The 18,138-nt window shown below is 36.0% G+C and overlaps 1 protein-coding gene across 6 annotated transcripts in view; it reads right to left on the minus strand.

Moving 5' to 3' along the window:
* The window catches only part of ARHGAP20 (Rho GTPase activating protein 20), a 136,147-nt gene that overhangs the window by 37,467 nt on the left and 80,542 nt on the right, over positions 1 to 18,138 (minus strand). For all 6 annotated transcript variants that reach the window (NM_001258418.2, NM_001258416.2, NM_001258417.2 and 3 more), the window contains 4 exons: positions 16,119 to 16,283; positions 9,653 to 9,802; positions 1,044 to 1,085; positions 52 to 136 (listed from right to left, as the gene is read on the minus strand). In NM_001258418.2, the coding sequence (NP_001245347.1) occupies positions 52 to 136; positions 1,044 to 1,085; positions 9,653 to 9,802; positions 16,119 to 16,283 (442 nt within the window). The remainder of the gene's footprint in view (positions 1 to 51; positions 137 to 1,043; positions 1,086 to 9,652; positions 9,803 to 16,118; positions 16,284 to 18,138) is intronic.

Consider the following 18,138-nt stretch of genomic DNA (forward strand, 5'->3'; position numbering starts at 1 on the left):
CTGTCTTATGCAGGGACTTGGAATTTAATTTTCTGGCTTAGAAACACTTACGTAGGCACAATTCCCAATGTCCTTGGCGAAGATTTTGAGGGGAATGCTCTTCGGGTAGTCCTTTTCTTTCTCTAGATTGATGTATCTAATCAAATGCAACAGCAACCCAAAACAACACTGAGTCAGATGGAATTCGCTAATGGCTTATTTTAAAAATCAATTTATTTTGCTAATATTTCCAATATACTTATATGCTATTTTTAAAAAAGATAGATGAGAAGACTCAGCAAAGTCAGATTACATTATGGGTTGGAAGAGAATAAACAAAATTTCAGGACATTAGGCATGGGCACAAAAAAATAGGACAGGCATGTCAAGTGAGGTTTGAGAAGCACAATCAGGTTAGGGCACCTCTGGGTAATGTCTGTCTTCTTTGGACAGGTCCAACACCTTACTGATAAGTATAGGAACATATATAATAAATATTTTACAAGGCCAAACCAAAGCAATGACCTTGTACTTCTCATTTAACTCCCCAGTAGGGTGTAAATCTTGGTTATCCTATAGCGTGGAGAGGGAGAGAGGACAGGAGGGAGGGAAGGACTGTAAGTCTAACAGATGAGCCTAAGTCAATCATTTTAGTCTGCATGCTCAATGGTAGGGATAATAACTACCATTATTTTTGAGGTGCTTAGCAGAAAACCCTGCATTTATGGAAACTTAATACATACTTTGAGGAAACTGTTAGCTCCAATTGGTAGGCTGGAGACAATGGAAAGAGAGAGGAGATTATTGACTAACTTCTGTCTAAAATGATTTAACTAGACCTCAATGTTCTCCTTCCTAGAAAGTTAAGAAATACATATAATGAGAGAACATTATTTGTAGCAAGTAAGTAGCTAGTGTACGATATAAACGGCAGCTTATTTAGAGGTCAAATGAACAATTTCTACTAAGGAGAAGGGGAATAATTTGGGGCACATCTCTGCAGAAAAGGTCTTAATTCATTTATTAAAGGTTAAAGATTAAAAATATGAATACTGAAAAAATACCTCTGAAGGAGAGAGAGCCATTTGTCCTTTTGTTCTGGAGAACTGCAATCAAAGAAAATGGGAGAGAAAAATTAAACCACATAAAATACAAATGCTAACAGATTTAGGATTGTCAATCCAGATGAAAATATCAACAACCTGTTGTTACTAATACAGTTGCACACATAAGCTGCAACCTTGGCATAATTGTGTTCTGGAGAACTCTGCAGTGGAAATATCCCTTTGGAAAAACTACAGTCAAATGTAGTTTTATTAAATCCTTTTGGATGGATCTAAGACAAACCCTCTTTTCTACTTTACTGCTTTTTTACAAGTGGTATTATATCAGTGTGAGAGAGTTCCTATAGTGGAAAGAGTACTTGATTTGGAATCTAACACTTGATTTCAAAATTATATGCAAGCTAGACAATCATGGGCAAGTCATTTAACCTCTAAGCCTCAGTTTCTACATCTATGAAACTGGGTTAGTATTTTCGTAGCTCACACGGCCATACAAATAGAAAGTATGCTTAATATTGAGAACACAGAGATTAAGAGAAATTTGGCATGTGAATGGAAATCTCTTTGCCCAGAAACCAGTTTGTTGTTAGGAAAAGAAACATTAAAAAAAAAATACATACAGCAAGATTATGATTTAGTAAATTAGTTCATTGAAAACTTATTCTTAAAAACTATAACCTTCTAAGATCAATCCATTTGCAACTAAATTAGTATTAATTTTTATGCTGATTTCACTATTACGTTTAATTCTTCAGATTAAAAATAATTTAAAGTTTATTCCTATGTGGTCTTGTCACTAACAAGCTTTTAAAATCATATTTCTCTCTCATATTTTTAAAGACAGGGGTCTTGCTCTGTTGCCTGGGCTGGAGTATAGAGGCATGATCATGGCTCACTGTAGGCTTGAACTCCTGGGGCCCAAGTGATCACGCTGGCTCAGCCTTTTGAGTAGTTAGGGCTACAGATGCGTGCCACAAGGCCTGGCTAATTTTCTAATCTTTTTAGAGATGTTGGAAATCCTAGTTATTTTATTATTTCCAAAAATACATTTATTCACTAACTTTATTGTTTAGCAATTTTCTCCATAAGCAATCTCCCAGGATTTGTCATCAGAAAGTGTACCACATTTTTTTCTTTTTTTTTTTTTTTACCATTGAGCATACATTTTCCATCTTTCACAATTCCTTACTATCTTTTGATGTATTCTCTTTTCTAAAATAGATTTTCTAGGTTCACTTATGTCAAATCTTGGATTTATTTAGCAAAAATCTGTTGAGAAACAGATAAGAGCTTTGCTTCAGACCTGCTAACTTTTTTCAAAGGAGTTAAAGAAAATTGCCCCTTTAAGACTCTTAGTATTTTTTTAACTTTTAACTGAAATAAAAGACATATAGAGAAAACTGCACAAAGCTTACATGTACAGCTTGAATAATTTTAACAAACTGAACACAGTCACATAAACCAGCACCCAGATCAGGAAATAGAAAATCACCTTGGAAGGTCCCTTATGTTCTTTTCCAGGCAGTAGTTTCCACTATCCTGACTTCCAACAGCACAGAATAGTTTTGCATGTTTGAGTACTTTATATAAATGTAACCATAAAGTATATACTATTTTGTGTCTGGCTTCTTTCAACATTATGTTTAAAAGATTTAATTATATTACTACATGTAGTTTTAGATAATTCATTCTCTTTTATTTTCTTTTTCTTTCTTTTTTTTTTTGAGATGGAGTTTCACTTTTTTTTTTGCCCAGGATGAAGTGCAATGGCGCAATCTTGGCTCACCGCAACCTCCGCCTCCTGGGTTCAAGCAATTCTCCTGCCTCAGCCTCCCAAGTAGCTGGGATTACAGGCATGTGCCACCACGCCTGGCTAATTTTGTAGTTTTTAGTAGAGACAGGATTTCTCCATGTTGGCCAGGCTGGTCTCAAACTCCCAACCTCAGGTGATCCACCCGCCTCCGCCTCCCAAAGTGCTGGGATTACAAGTGTGAGCCACTGTGCCTGGCCAATTCATTCTCATTGCTGTGTTCCCTTGTTTGAATAAACAGCATATATTACTTCAAAATATAAATTATGAAGTGTGTCAGGTTAATGTATGGAGATTGATTTGTGTAATCTTCTTGTATATTTCCCTTTCCCCCCTGCTCTATACCTGAATCCAGGACTCCCTTTCTTTAGTAATTCTTAATCTCAGGCATTTTTACAGGACTAAAAATAGAAGTACTTCAAAGTCAATGACTATCTCTGCGTTTTATAAATACTTAAACCCATTAAAAAGACAGTAAGATCCAGGACAGGAGAAAGCAGTGTATCTTGGAAAATAAAATAAAAAGGGCATGGCAGATTAGAAGATTCTCTCAAATTATGGAGGAGATAGAGGCCTGTCATCACTGAGAGTGAGCCGGGAACCATATGTCACTCAGTTAAGGTGCCCTAAGGAAACAGAAAGAACCCAGAGGAAATGGTTTTAAGGAGTCATTAGGGAGGCTGGGTCCTAGGCACCAAAGTTTTTATATCGGCAAAGATACCTTCCACCCACCCCCTGCCCCCCTTTATGGCAAAGCAGCAGAACATCTCTGGATATACAGGGACAACTCTGGGCATAGAAAAAAATGTCAACAGTGACCACAATAGACTAAAGTCAGAAGCCCTTTATCTGTTTTGGAGGCATCTTAGAAGTCTCCTGTATTCTAGTTCTACCTTACAAAAACAGCAGTTCCAGTAAAGAAGAAAATCTGATTTCCTACCAGCTTGGCAAAATGGGGGTTTAAGATGAGTTTTAATTTGATCTATAAATAAACACGCATACCTGAGTTTGTAGTCTAAGATTCACAGTAGGTACTTAAGTTAAAATATTATTTTCTGATTCTTATAGACCATTGTCAGATTCAAGGACTTCCTGTGTCTTTTGACTGATTTTCCCATTCTTTCATACCGTTATTTGTGAAATCAAGGTGCAGCACCTATTTTTCTGGTGAATCAGAGTATATGTAGTGATAGAGTATATGTAGTGATAGTGTATATGTAGTGATAGAGTATATGCAGTGATAGAGTATATGCAGTGATAGAGTATATGCAGTGATAGCGTATATGCAGTGATAGCATATATGCAGTGATAGAGTATATGCAGTGATAGAGTATATGCAGTGATAGAGTATATGCAGTGAGAGTGTATGCAGTGATAGAGTATATGCAGTGATAGCATATATGTAGTGATAGAGTGTATGCAGTGATAGAGTGTATGCAGTGATAGAGTGTATGCAGTGATAGAGTATATGCAGTGATAGCATATATGTAGAGTGTATGCAGTGATAGAGTATATGCAGTGATAGAGTATATGCAGTGGTAGAGTATATGCAGTGATAGAGTATATGCAGTGATAGAGTATATGCAGTGAGAGTGTATGCAGTGATAGAGTATATGCAGTGATAGCATATATGTAGTGATAGAGTGTATGCAGTGATAGAGTGTATGCAGTGATAGAGTGTATGCAGTGATAGAGTATATGCAGTGATAGCATATATGTAGAGTGTATGCAGTGATAGAGTATATGCAGTGATAGAGTATATGCAGTGGTAGAGTATATGCAGTGATAGAGTATATGCAGTGATAGAGTATATGCAGTGAGAGTGTATGCAGTGATAGAGTATATGCAGTGATAGCATATATGTAGTGATAGAGTGTATGCAGTGATAGAGTGTATGCAGTGATAGAGTGTATGCAGTGATAGAGTATATGCAGTGATAGCATATATGTAGAGTGTATGCAGTGATAGGGTATATGCAGTGATAGAGTATATGTAGTGATAGCATATATGTAGAGTATATGCAGTGATAGAGTATATGCAGTGATAGAGTATATGCAGTGGTAGAGTATATGCAGTGATAGAGTATATGTAGTGATAGTGTATATGTAGTGATAGAGTATATGCAGTGATAGAGTATATGTAGTGATAGGGTATATGCAGTGATAGGGTATATGCAGTGATAGAGTATATGCAGTGATAGAGTATATGTAGTGATAGCGTATATGTAGTGATAGAGTGTATGCAGTGATAGAGTGTATGCAGTGATAGAGTATATGCAGTGATAGAGTATATGTAGTGATAGAGTATATGCAGTGATAGAGTATATGTAGTGATAGAGTATATACAGTGATAGAGTATATGTAGTGATAGAGTATATGTAGTGATAGAGTATATGTAGTGATAGTGTATATGTAGTGATAGTGCATATGTAGTGATAGAGTATATGCAGTGATAGAGTATATGCAGTGATAGAGTATATGTAGTGATAGAGATGAAACTCCTTTTGGGCTTTTTTGAGATGTGACTACCCTGTTTTCCAAAGTAAAGCATGAAAAGCTCACATGGATTGCCTGCTCTTCCCTCAATTTGACTCAATTGGGAGGTTTTCAAAGATTCTGGCAATTGTCAGTCTTAGATTTCAATGCTATTAGTTTTTACTTTTTATTTTTATTTTTTTGAGACCGAGTCTTGCTCAGGCTAGAGCTATTGCCCAGGTTGGAGTGTAGTAGTGCAATCACAGCTCACTGCAGTCTTGAATTCCTGGATTCAAGCAATGCTCCTGCCACATCCTCCCAAGTAGCTAAGACTACAGATGGGTACCACCATGCTCAGCTAATTTAAACATTTTTTTAGAGATGGGGTCTATGTTGCCCAGGTCTATGGCCTCAAGCAATCCTCCACCTCAGCCTCCCAAGTAGCTGGGACTACAGGTGTATGCCACCATGCCTGCATAATATTTTGACTTTTTTGTAGAGATAGAATCTTGCTATATTGACCAGTTTGGCCTCAAACTCCCCCCCTCAAGTGATCCTCTCACCTCAGCCTTTCAAGCAGCTGGGATTACAGGCACCAGTCACTGTGTCTGGCTACATTTACAAAAAATAGTTATTATAGTAACTGGATAGTAGAGACTGCTTCTTTAACCTGCTACCTGATGGAATTTTAAATGGATGATGACCTAGATTTCCCTAACATTTCCAATGATTTCCACTCCTTCCTAAAGATCTGAGCTTCCCTCTTGTCTTTCACTTCAGTGTGAAAAACTTGTGTTAACATTTTTTTCGGTAGGACAGTTCTGCTAGTAATAAATTATTATAGTTTTTTAAAAAAATCTTCATTCTACCTTCATTTTAAAATAATATTTTTGCTGAATACTGTATTCTAGGTTAAACGGTTTTCAACACTTTAAAAAATGTATTCCATTGTCAGCTGGGCGCGGTGGCTCATGTCCGTAATCCCAGCACTTTGGGAGGCTGAGGCAGGCAGATCACCTGAGGTCAGGAGTTTGAGACCAGTCTGGCCAACATGGGGAAACCCAGTTTCTACTAAAAATACAAAAAAATTAGCTGGGCGCGGTGGTGTGCACCTGTAATCCCAGCTACTCAGGAGGCTGAGGCAGGAGAATCACTTGAAGCCGGGAGGCAGAGGTTGCAGTGAGCCGAGATCATGCTATTGCACTACGGCTTGGGCAACAAGAGTAAAACTCCATCTCAAAAAAAAAAAAAAAAAAAAAAAGCTCCACTGTCTTCTAACCTCCATAGTTTCTAATGAAAGGGCCATAATAATTCAAATTGTCATTTTCCTATTTGTACTACATTGTTTTTATCTGACTGCTTTCAAGATCTTTCTCTTATTTTTGATTTATGGTTGTTTATAACATGACTAGGTATAGTTTTCTTAATAGTCACACTGTCTAGGGTTCAGTGAGCTGTATATTTATGCCTTTTACCAAATTTAGGTAGTTTTTAACCACTATTTTTTCAGCCCCATTTCCTCGCTCCTCTTTCTGTAATTCCAGTGACATGTATATTATACTTTTTGATATATTCCCACAAGTCCGTGATACATTTTTCCTTTAAAAAATCTTTGCTTTTTTTTTCCTGTTCCTCAGATTACACAATTTGTATTGATAAATCTTCAAGTTCACCAAATCCTCTTTCATTTCCATTCTGCAAAGAAGGCCACTCAGAAAATATTTTATTTAAAATATTTTAGTTTTCAGTTCTAGAATTTTCATTTGGCCCTTTTTAGTATTTTTTATTTCTCTGCTGATATTTCCTATCTTTTTATTAATTTAAATTGAATTTTCCTTTTACCTGCCATGCTTACTTATGAAAGCTGTTTTAAAGTTCTTTTCTGGTAATTCAACATATGAATCATCTCAAGATTGGTCTCTATTGATTATCTTTTTCCTTGTTCTTCACATGTCAAGATATTTTAGATTGTATTCTGGACATTACAAATGTTTTGTTTTGGAGACTGTATTCTGTTATATTTGTGGAACAGTGTTGATATTTTTGTTTTAGCATAAAACTAACTTGATTAGATGAAGCTACAAACTCTATTTCATCTGTGATGAGTTGCGGCTCAGTTCGATTCTTTCAGTCTTAGCTTCAAGATGCTTTGAGTCTGTCTCATGCATGTGGGGTTTGGTGATCAGCCAGAGATTTGGGCAGTGTTTATACATAGAATTTGGAGCTTCTCTTCTCTGCTACTTTCCTTTTTGAGATTCTCCCCCTCATCCCACAATAGCTGTGGATGACATAGCTTCTGTCCTCTGGTTCTTCAGCTCAGAAAGATTGTTTTTGCCAGTTTTAGTTGTCCTACACCATGATGTAACTGTACCCTGCTCTCAGGCTAAGGCCTTAAAAACAGGAAACTCACCCAGTACTTGTGCCTACTTCCAAGTTTAAATTCCTCTCCAAAAGACCTCACTCTGCCATATCAGAGGCAGAATTCCTCAACACTTCACTTTTTTAAAAAAATAAATTCAGAAATTTTAGATTTCCGTAAAAGTTACAAAGATAATATAGAGATTCCCTACATAGTTCTCATGCTGTTTAAGTTCAGAGGACTCTAAATGTTATTCTTTTACATTATCATGGTCCATTTGTCAAAACTAAGAAACCAATATTAGTACATTACTATCAAACTCTTGACTTATTTCAGATTTCACCATTTTTTCCATTAATGTCCTTTTTCTGTTCTAGAAGCTAATCTAGAATACCACATTATAATTATTATATCTCTTTAGTAACTGATCTATGACCATTTCTCAGTCTTTCTCTGATTTTGTTTTTCTGACCTGGAAGATTTTAAGGGGTGCTGGTCAGGTATCCTGCATAATATAGCTCACTGTGTGTTTGTTGAATGATTTCCTCATGATTAGACTGGAGTTAAAGGTTTTTGGGAGGAAGATCACAAGGTTAATTGTTCTTCTTATCACAATACATCAAGGAGTACATGTTATCTACATGACATCACTGGTGATATTAACCTTGATCATTTGGTTAAAGAACCATAGTTTAAATAATATAATATAGGTAAAACTTCTTTCCACATTTTCCCCTCTTCTTAAAAAAAGAAGTTTCATGAAAATTCCTTGATTAAAAATGTCATGTAGTCATACCCTCACTTAAAATTACTTCCTTTCACCTGTAACTCCAAGGAGATAAAGCAATAGGAAATGAAAATATCTAGAGAAATCTGTCATGGAAAAGAAGATATGCTGAGAATGAAACAAACACATTTTTTTTTTCCAAATCAGTTCTTAAAATCTTGTGGTAGGCCAAATAGTGCATAATAGCATTTAATGACATGCCTATCTTTTAATAAAAGATTAACATCATGGAAAATTTAAGTTGTCTGGCTTTATGATGATGTCCTAGGAGTTTTGTGGTGGCAAGAAGAGAAGCAGAATAAAAAGCATCATGTGCATGTGATGGACACTAACTTTAAGTGTAAAACAAATACTGGAGAGGTTGGAACACAGTTATTCAAAATCACAGGTGTGATTGTGATTGTTCACTCTGAACTGGACAGTGCCAATAAAGCATAATCATTAGAAGAGGACAAATATTCTGTATTCATACATTCTCCAACCCCATCCTAGCATAGGAGCATGTCTTGGGAAACTCTGACTCCTTAAAATCATACATTTGCTTTTTATTGTCACATCTCTATAGACACCAACTCAAAACCTGCTATACAATTTGGGCAACCAGTATTTCATGAAATTAGTTTTATTTGTATAATAAAACACTATTTATTTAAAAATTCAGGAGTATAAACCATTAATTGAAACTTAATTGGACTATACAATTTGCTTCAATGAAAGTCTTTTTCAGTGGTTTGAAAAGACTGATAAGACTTGAAAGCTCAATACGTAAAACAAATACCTACATATTAAGGAAGGGGATGTTGAAGAGGGGGTCCTAAAGATGGGACTACTCTATTCCCCTTCCATATTCCTGGAAGTTCCTGTTGTTGCTGTTGTTGTTGTTGTTTTCACAAAAATAACTTGTCAAACCAAGGTACATAATCCCAAGAGTTCCCAATATTTACCATTAATTTTCACATATTTTAATCAAAAGCCCATTGGGAGAAATACATGGCATACAAGTATTTTGGTTGGGTGTATGTGTCAACAGATGAGTTATTGATTTAATATGGAATCAGAATAAAATATTTCCCTCTTAAAAATTAGAGGAACAACATTTGATTAATTTTTAAAATTTCAATCCTAGAAATTATCATAGTAGCTAACCCAGGTAAATAGAGGACAAGCTGTGGTTCTTACCTGAAAGTGGCCACAAAGTTCACTGTGGGCCAGCCCAAAACAAAGGATTTCATGGCATTGGTGTTGCCTTCTCCCACTTCATCCACACAGCTTGCTGTCCACATATCAGTTAATTTAATTTTATTTTTTATCTTAAAGTTATTGTTATATCTAGAAAGATAAAAACCAAACAGAACCTTTTGTTATTTTGTTTCTTAAATTTTATGGGAGCTTCTCTGGAAGGCATCATCCTCAGCAAACTAACACAGGTACAGAAAACCAAATACTGCATGTTCTCACTCATAAGAGTGAGAGCTGAACATTGAGAACACATGGACACAGAGAGGGGAATAACACATACCAGGGCCTAATGAGGGGTGGGGGATAAGGGGAGGGAACTTAGAGGACGGGTCAATAGGAACAGCAAACCACCATGGCACACGTAACCCTATGCAACAAACCTGCACATTCTGCACATGTATCCTGTTTTTTTTTTTAGAAGAAAAATAATTTATGGGAGTTTCTGTACTTGTGATAAAAGGACCATTTTCACTAATCATGGGCAAAGTGTCTTATTCATTGTTTTTATCTTCAGTGCCTAGAAGAGTAAACTAAAAAAGGGTTGGCTACCTTAGCCCAAGAAGATCTTTGAAACATTGGTGAAACAGTTAGTCCTCATGCCTGCATTTATGGCAAGAAATAGGCATAAACTGGCCACCTTATTTTTCTATATGTCGAGCATTGCATTTAGATCAAAAACCTAACTTCAAATGTACTGCTGTTACAAAATATTAATTCATTTATTATTTATAACTTGCCAATTTCCAAAACAATTTGAGTGGCTGAAAACAGAAAATACACAGGATTTATTTTTTTTTTATTTTTATTTTTATTTTTTTTTTTTTTTTGAGACGGAGTCTCGCTCTGTCGCCCAGGCCGGACTGCGGACTGCAGTGGCGCAATCTCGGCTCACTGCAAGCTCCGCTTCCCGGGTTCACGCCATTCTCCTGCCTCAGCCTCCCGAGTAGCTGGGACTACAGGCGCCCGCCACCGCGCCCGGCTAATTTTTTGTATTTTTAGTAGAGACGGGGTTTCACCTTGTTAGCCAGGATGGTCTCGATCTCTTGACCTCATGATCCACCCGCCTCGGCCTCCCAAAGTGCTGGGATTACAGGCGTGAGCCACCGTGCCCAGCCAGGATTTATTAAAATGTTTATAAAATTTTCATTTTAAGAGAGATGCACTAAAAAAACCCTGTAGTTAATTAGAAGAATTTATAATATATTTTCAATGAAGTGGCTACAAGATTTTCTAGCCTTTAGAAGCATAGGTTATTTTAAATTTCATTTCTTAGATTTTGTTCAACCATTTCCCCTTATATTCTGGTTAAAAGTAAAAATGTGCAGTCCCCCAAAAAGAACCTAAACCAAACTTAAAAAAAAAAGTAGGGTTGACACAATTAACATTCATCTCTGGGGACCTTGAAGGTGGTCTATTTTAATTCAAGTGAAATTGCTTTTAGACAATTTCTACCTAATCCCTGTAGACTCCTGATATGGAAACCACCATATCTCTTGACCTAATTGTCAGGTTTAACACTAGCAGGGACCTGAGACTTAAACAGAAGGCACAGAGAAGGATAAAGAGAATGCTCAGGAAAACATGGGTACTTCTTGGCATTCAGACCCATTTGTGTAAATACTAAAAGTTAAAATGAAATTAAAGGTACCTTATATGGAAGTATCCCTAAAAATTCCTCTGATTCATGGAATATTTAAAGCTAAAATTTTTCAGTGGAATTCATAAGATGAAAAAGGATTTTGCAGGAACTGAAGGAGAATCTAGATTCAAAGCCTCATTTATGATTCCCACAGAATTTAAGTGTAATAGAAAGTGCCTTGTGGCATAATGGCTTCTTTCTATATTTCAATATTTTCCACCCTATTGTTATGAATCTTTAGATTTTTAAAATAAAACAGACCCAATTACAGACCAAATTTTATTTATTGATGCCAACTGTTAAAACTACACATTTTTGGAAAAAATAGGTATCCTCCCATATTTGTTTTCACATATTTTGTATTTTCTGATGCAAGTCTCTATCTCAGTAGATGCTGCAGATATCATGTGGGAACATCCACATCCGTTGACCTGGAAAAAAAGTCATCCCAAAGATCCTTTCCCTAGATCAATAAGGTGCTACATTATCCACCCCGATTTCCAAAACAAGCAACTGTCTAAAAGTATAAACAATGACTTCCATTCTCCTATAATAAAAATAATGGCCAATATTTATTGAGAACTTACCATATACCATTGTTGTAAATACTTTACACACATTATTTAGTTTGATCCTCAGGAATTTTACAGGTAAGGAAATGGAGTCGTAGAGAGGTTAACCTGCTAAAAGTCACACAGCTTAAGTAGCAGAGCTAGAATTTAAACTTGGACAGTGTTGACTCCTGAGCTTATTTATGCTCTTAACCACTAGGCATCTATAAAAAGTCTTGGATATCACTATTCCTATAAAGCACCTGAAACCCGGGTGAAGTTATATTTTCCATGAAGTTCTCTTCAGCTTTTCAATCTTTGGCTTTTTTTTTTTAATCTCTCCAGAGCTACAAGGCTTTCTGATGTGGCTATTATGGAGGCTGAGGAAGAAATCTCATGAACACTTATGAACATAAAGCTAGATGGACTAGTTTGAAAATATTTAAAAGAAGTATTCCAATAAAGCTTTATATTAAAATGGGCATTCTTGGGGTCATAGAATGCTTCTTCAGATTTTTCCACTTTCAATTTCCATAGTATTAGACTATAGAAATTTAAAAATGCTAATTTAATGTGAACCGGCTCCAATAGCATGACGACTATCTCCAATAGTATTATGACAACAGGAATTAAAAAGTGTGAATCCAATATAAACAGACTGAACAAAACCCCCTAAAAATATATATATTTTTTTGAGACAGAGTTTCGCTCTTGTCACCCAGGCTGGAGTGCATTGGCATGATCTTGGCTCACTGCAACCACCACCCCTCAGGTTCAAGTGATTCTCGTGCCTCAGCCTCCTGAGTAGCTGGGATTATAGGTGCCTGCCACTACGCCCGGCTAATTTTTTTGTATTTTTTAGTAGAGATGGGGGTTTTGCCATGTTGGCCAGGCTGGTCTCGAACTCCTGACCTCAGGTGATCTGTCTGCCTCGGCCTCCCAAAGTGCTGGGATTACAGGTGTGAGCCACTGCGCCTGGCCAAATTCTTTATTTTGACAACGTAGTCCCTTATTACAAATTTATTAAGCTGACAGATGTACTTTGATTTCCTATCCTCCTATCTTCATACTGGAAAAAATTCCAGTGAATTGATGAAATACACAGGATTCCAGGGAGATTTCTCCCCATTCTAAGATAGGGATGTCTTATTAAACATGTTTTGGGGTAGAGTTCATTATATATTCCACAAATATCTGATGGTAATTCTATTAATAAATTTATTTCATCTTCTTCACCTAAACAGAACTCATTACTATTTACTATTTGCTTATTCTCATAAAATATGATAATAGTGATGGCTTACGAGGGTGTGAGGTAAATACAGTCATTTCTCCTTTCTGTAAATTCCATATGGGTGCTCAATGGCTATTATCAGAGAGAATATTAACTTCTTTCTAAATAATGTTTGTAAAACAGATCCTGGTTTTTAAAAAAGAAAACTCATGATTTTATTGGAAAAGTAACTTATTTATCTTGCAAATGCATATCAAAAGTGGTCCCCAAGTACCCATCTGGCTTTAATACTTTACTAATTTAGTATGGAAAAGAATTACCATAAACTCAAAACAATTTTCAGCAAACATTGTCGGCATCCAGTACAAAACAGATCAAATATAATAATTTAGTCAAAAGAAGGAAGTATTTAATACCCGTTTTACTGTTGTACTTACTAAAATTCACTAAACAAATATGTAGCAGTTGATTGATTATTTATCCCTCTCAAGTTTATTTCTCTAGGCCCAACCTAAGGACTGAAAGCAGTATCTAAAAGAAGCCTGAAGATGAGCTGATGTAATATGGAACCTAAGGTCCCCTCCTTGTCTCCTATGGCTCAGTAAGAGACTTAAGTGCTAATTTCAGATTATTTCAACAAATTAATTGATCCAGGGTAACACTCAATCCTTCATCCAAGGGTAAGAAATGACTCAGAAGACATAGGTTTGGAATTACAGGGACTATTTGCTTTTGATTGTTATTTCATAAAAATTAAGTTCTTTCATATTAAGAAGGATCTGTGAATATAACTAACTAACTGCTATGAGAATGATCATGTAATCAATTTCCTAAAAAATGGTGGTCAAAATTTTTGCAAAGTGGCAGGATTTAATAATAATAATAATCATCATCATCATCTCAAATATCTATGTTCTATCTCAGGGGTTTTGGATTTATGTCAAAAAATAACTTAGATCATTCGCACTTTTAAATATTCCCAATGGGTATAAGAAGTACTTAAAATAATCTTTCATAATTTGAACCTCTTAAATAACAGCATTTAAATCAATTGATAGAATTTTTTTCACTTCACGAAAACATTAAAGTGGACATTAAAGTTATCTCAAAAGCAGTGTATGGGAAAAAGTGGTATAACCTTATGTGAGAAAGGGACAATCAAAATAAAAAGTCAGCTACAGAAGCAGACAATGGGTACACATTTTGCCAATATATCTAAAAACAGCAATATTCTAGTGGAAAAGAAACTGTCTTTATATAAAATATTTTTAGCAAAACATAGATTCCATAAAAACAACTTACATGCTAACAGTATACAGCACAGTAAATAACCTCAGGTAAAAAAACAAAGGTCCTCTATTCTAGTTATCATTGTAACTGCTAAGGGGAAAAATATCCAAAAAAGGTGAAGGAAAATACATTCTTCCCTAAGAGCTGAATGCATGCTACAAGTAAATAGTCTTTAAGATCTTAAAGTTTAGAAAATTGGTTATTATAAAAAATTTTTGTTGTCTATTTATCTACCTCCAGGCTGAGGTATACATCTAATGAGTACTGTGTGCTAAAAAATATAGAAAGAAGCAGCCGTTGGAAGTAAGGCCTAGATTCAAACCCCAGCCCTGCCATTTCTTAGTATATAACAAACCTTCCTGAGCCTCAGTGTTCAATATCTGAAACAACTCTTATCTTGGGGGATTGTTAGGATAATTAAACGAAATCTTTGTGATTCTCCTATTATAATATCTAGCATAAAGAACTCATCCAATAATTTTTAATTAAGGGAATAACTGTTTTTTGAAAATAATGACTTTTTCCTCTATTAATAGTTTCCCAACTTAGAGCTTCAAGTGGACCTAGTGCAAAGATGTGGCTGGAGAAACTTATTCGTTCTCTTTATTCCTATAATACCATATCCTCTCCAAAACTATATCTGTAGGCATTCCTTCATTCTGAAACGGTTCTTATCTTTATGCTTGTCTTTAATTTAAAAAAATGTATAAAAACAGTTCACTAAGCATTCTACACCGTTTCTTATAAATGTGTATTTAGTTGGAGCCTTTTACTCATACACGTGGAGAGGAACTCAAGCCTCTGGCCACAAGCCACTGAGTAACTAAGGCTAACAGCATCCACTTGAGTGAGCTTGGAAGTAGATTCTCCAGCTCCAGGTGAGCTTTGAGATAACTTTAACCCAAGCCAGCAAGCTTGAGGGCTCTCGTGAAGGCTTGTAAGCCAGAAGCATCCAGTGAAACACTCTCAGACTCCTGACTCAGAGAAACTGCATGAGATATTTATAATTTTAAACTGTAATGTTTTTGGGTAATTTGTTAAATGGCAATAGATAATCAATATAGCCTACACAGGTCCTTATAACCTAACCCTTGTCTACTTCTCTAATCTTAATTCATCTTACTCTCCTTGGCTTGTTATGCTCCAGTTACACAGGCCTTCTTTTAATTCCTCCAAGTGCTAAGCTTTCCCCAACTACCTTTGCACCTGCTGTTCCCTCTCCCTGGAATGCTCATCCTCCAATATCTGAATGGCTGATTGCTTTTCATCCTTCACTGAATTTTTCCCCTGACTACACCTACCTAACATATATGCCATCTTTTACTTCACCCAGCACCCTATTTTCTTCATAGTACTAATCACAATTTGTCATTCTCCCTCACCCCATGCATAAGACTGTAAGCTCCCACATTAGAATATAAGCTCCCAAAGAGCAGGGACCGTACCCATCACATTCTTCATTGAATTTCCTACATTTATTCAGGACATGGCACAGAACAGGACCTAAATAAACACTTGTTGAAAAAATGAACAATCGATTTTTTTTTGCAATGAAGGGCATAAAATCACTTTAGATATTACCTATAGTAACAAAGGCAAGACATTCTTACAGTAAGCATTGAGTAGAAAGGGTATCTTTGTTAGTAAAAGTGCAATTTTATAATGATAATCAGGAGTATATAGTATACATACTTGATTTTGGCCACAACAAACAGATCATTGAATAGGAAAAGATGCCGCTCCTGCCTCTGGAGGCCTCTTTTGAGTTCTGCCCGGCCATCAATCAGCAGAGTCCTATTGGAGCACACTAATGATGACAGAAATGTGCATGTGTCAACACTAGCAGAAGGACTGTCCCTGTAACAGATCAAATGCCACAGATCAGTCAAACGATCATCTTATAGTTGGTCAAGAACTACAAAATTCTGTAATTTTTTTTAATACAATGGTATAGCATCCTAACTGGTCATGAGTCTATTCACCACACAGTAGTCTTTAATATTTCATTATGAAAATTTTGAAACAAAGAAAAGTTGAAATAGTTTTATAATAAACACATGTATATGTATCTCAATATAGATTCTACCATTAGTATTTTACTATACTTGCTTTACCAAATACCTATCCAACCATCCATTGAATAATTCATTTTATTTTTGGCATTTCAGGGTAAACTACATACAGGCAGTACACATCCCCCTGAATGCTTCAGCATACATATCATTAACTAGAGTTCAATTATTTATTTTGAATTTTTCTCTTGATATCAAATTTACATACAACAAAATGTAGAAATCTTAGGTGTATATCCACTGACTTTTGACAAATGTACTTATCTGTGTAATCTAAGCCTCTAACAAGATTTAGAAAGTGATCATCACTCCAAATAATTCCCTCTTGCCCCTTCTCAGCTATTATATAAATTAACCAAATATAGTCTCTATGGATTGGCTCCTGAGTTGTTTATTTCTCCACTGCAGGCTGAGACCTGTCAGTTCAAAACCTCACTAGTATCAAACTTAAATTTTTATATATCGAAGTATTTTAAAAATAGCCCAATCAGATTTTTAGCCAGTAACAGCCTGCCTGCTTTGCATACTCCATCAAACTACACCCAGCACCTGCTGGCCACTGAAAAGAGAGTGTCTGTGGTTATGAGACCCCCAAGTTGCTCATGCCCTTTAGAGCTCTCTGACCTAGCCATTCCTCACTACTGAGGAATGGACATCTACTCTCCAGAAATATCTGCTCTGATTCTTTTCTCCCCTGCCCTCCTTCCCTTCTGGATGGTGGCTCCTTGCCATAAGCCTCTGGACAGTCTCATACTGTGAGGGATTTACTCTCTCATGCAATCCTGTACAGTATGTTAAATCTTTGATCAGATCCCAAATACCTCAAACTCCTTATACCAGTCAATCCTGACTTGATCACCCCAGAGGTAACCACTATTCTGATTTTTCTTTTTCCCAAGAAAGACTGCCTGTTCTAGAATTTTATACAAATTGAACCACAGTATCTGTTCTTTTGTGTAAGATATTACTTCCTCATCATATTTTTGGAATTCATTCATGTTATTACATTTATCAGTAATTCATTCCTTTATCTTACTTAGGTATTCAATGTATAAATATGCCAGAGTTTATTCTTCTATTGTTGTATACTTGGGCTGTTTCCAGTTTTTAGCTATCATGAATAAAATGGCTATTAAACATTGGTACTAGTCTTTTTGTATCTATGTTTTCATTTCTCTTGGGTAAATACCTCAGAGTGGAATTGTTAGGTCACAGAGTAGGTATAAGTTTAATTTTAGAAAAACTACCAGTTAGTTTTCCATAACGATGGTACCATTTTACATTCCCAGCAACACTGTAAAAGAGTTCCAGTTGCTCCACGACCTTGCTAACATTTGGTGTTATCAATCTTTTGAATTTTGGCCAGTTTAGTGGATGTACAGTAGCCTTTAATTAGGATTTTTTTTTCTTATTTTGAGAAGGAGTCTTGCTCTGTCACCCAGGCCGAAGTGCAGTGGCATGATCTTGGGTCACTGAAACCTCTGCCTCCTGGGTTCAAGCAATTCTCCTGCCTCAGCCTCCTGAGTAGCTGGGATTACAGGCATGCACCACCACGCCCAACTAATTTTTGTATTTTTAGTAGAGATGGGGTTTTGCCATGTTGGCCATGCTGGTCTCGAACTCATGACCTCAGATGATCT

This window comes from Homo sapiens, chromosome 11, assembly GCF_000001405.40.
Source record: "Homo sapiens chromosome 11, GRCh38.p14 Primary Assembly".
Classification (NCBI taxonomy): domain Eukaryota; kingdom Metazoa; phylum Chordata; class Mammalia; order Primates; family Hominidae; genus Homo; species Homo sapiens.